This window comes from Homo sapiens, chromosome 3 (assembly GCF_000001405.40).
Source record: "Homo sapiens chromosome 3, GRCh38.p14 Primary Assembly".
Classification (NCBI taxonomy): domain Eukaryota; kingdom Metazoa; phylum Chordata; class Mammalia; order Primates; family Hominidae; genus Homo; species Homo sapiens.
Window position 1 is genome coordinate 197629270 of NC_000003.12, and position 2256 is coordinate 197631525.

Sequence of the window (2256 nt, forward strand, 5' to 3'; positions counted from 1 at the left end):
TGCCAAGCCTGTGGTTTCAGTTCCATGCTCCCAGGTAGATTATGTCAACTCAAAGTCAATGCGCTTATGAAATACTTTTTGTGGTTTTTTTCTTAATTTTAAGAGGTTTTTTTTTTAAATATGTTTTTGTTTCATGGAGGCGACACCCTCTGTCTCTGAGTTGTGGGAGCCTTCCTCCTTCAGTCTGCATGTACTGAAGCCAGTGTTTGCCGTACAGCCCCTCAGCCGCAGCAGCCCACAGTGAGGTGCAGGTGCTCACGCCATCGCCCCAGAGAGCTCCTCCATTCGCCCCTCCACCCGTAGCCCCTCGAAACCACTGCCCTGCTCCCCGACACGGTACACTGTCTTCTCCAAGATGTCATGTGTTGGCATCCTTCGGCCTGTGGCCACCGAAACTAGCTTCCTTCACCGGGCATGTAGCCTGGGAGACCTGGCGCATTTGGGTGCATCTTTCCACCGCTGGTTGGTGTCCCCTATGTGGAAGCATCCGCGTTGGTTCACGCCTTCTCCTGCTCCTGCCGACGGACATTTTGTTTTCTTCCAGTTATTGGCAATGAGGAATGAGGCCTAAACACTTGTGTGCAGGTTTGTGTGTGCACGTTTAAGTTTTCCCTTGGGGGACATTTCAGCAGTGGGGTTGCTGGATGACATGGTAAGGATGTGCTTAACTTCGTAAGAAACTCCCGGACCACTTTCCAGCATGGCGGGACCCCTCCCATTCCCACTGCAGCTTATGAGGGTCCCAGTTCCTCTGCATCATCACTAGAACCTGGGTTGGCCCATGGGTTTTGTCTGTTTTTAGCCATTTTAATGGATTTGCAGAGGTACTGCTGACTGGCATTTCTCCAGCATCTCTATGATGTTGAGCCTCTTTCTCGGGCAATATGCCCTCCTTATACCTTCTTTGATGAGGCCTCCGTTCCAATATTGGCCCTCTCTTTAATACTGGGGTTTTTACTTTCTTATGGTTAAGTTTTGATGGTTCTTCATATATCCTGCGTGCCAGTAGGTTGTGAGATGTGTGATTCACAAATGTTTATTTCTAGACCATAGTTTGTGTTTCATTCTCTTTGGATTTTTATATTGCTTTATAGAATTATAATTTTAAATTTATGACTACATTTAATTTGTCAATCTTATGAATCATGCTTTTGGTGTCATGTCTAAGAACTTTTCGCCTAACCCCAGGCCATACGAATTTTCCCCTGTGTTTTTAGCTAAGGGTTTGATAGCGTTAGGTTCTCCATTTAGGCCTTTAATAAATGTTGAGTAACATTTTGTGACCGCCATGGCCATACCTTTCTCCATCTCTTACGGTATCGGGGGCATTTGCAGCTCCCAGTGCGCCGTGCTGTTCCCGTCTTCTTGGTCCGCTCCACCTGTCATACCTTTCTCCGTCTCTCACAGTATCGTGGGCGTTTGCAGCTCCCAGTGCCCCGTGCTGTTCCCGGCTTCTTGGTCCGCTCTTCCTGTGAGTTCCAGGGCACGTCTTAGTGCTGGCGCTGTCCTGGTCCATCAGGGGGTCCCATGAGCTTGTCCGTGTGGGAAGGTTGGGACTGTGATGTTGACGGGATGCCCTGTGAGTCAGGAGGAGGTGCTGACGGGGGTTTCCATGTAGGAGAGAGAGGTGTTTGGTTTTCCGGATGGGGCAGACTTGAGAGGGGACAAACTTGAGAAATGCCACCAATGAGAAGGGCAGGCACAGCAGGTCTCGGGGCCGCCCAGCCGTGTGGGAGCCAAACGTGGATGTGTCAGTGGCCACGCCAGGAGGTAAACCCTCAACCAAGGGCCTCTGGGTGTCCAAGACCAAGTCTTGCTCAAGAGGTGCGTTCAGCTGAGCCAACCATGGCAGAAATGCATAAGGGAGATCCCACGGTTCCTCTGTTTAAATCCCCTGCTAATCCCACCAGTCTCAGAGAAGCAGCCAAGTCCTCACAGCAGCCTGCAACCCCCGCCTGACTCAGCCTCCTCTTGGCTCTGATTCTCTGTACCCTTCTATCCCTGTCTCTTCTTCCATCAGAGAGGAGATCCGGCACGTTTATCCTGGTGGATTCAAACCCATCTTTGCCCCACATATAGTCACCGGAATGAATAGGTATAATCTAGAAACAGGCCTTTTGAAAAAGAAAAAAGCAGGCCGGGCATGGTGGCTCATGCCTATAACCCTGCAGGGACCAGCCCCACAGGGTCGGTGGGTCTCTCCCTGTGTGCGGCGACGAGAGAGTGTTGTAGAAATAAAGACACAAGACAAAGAGA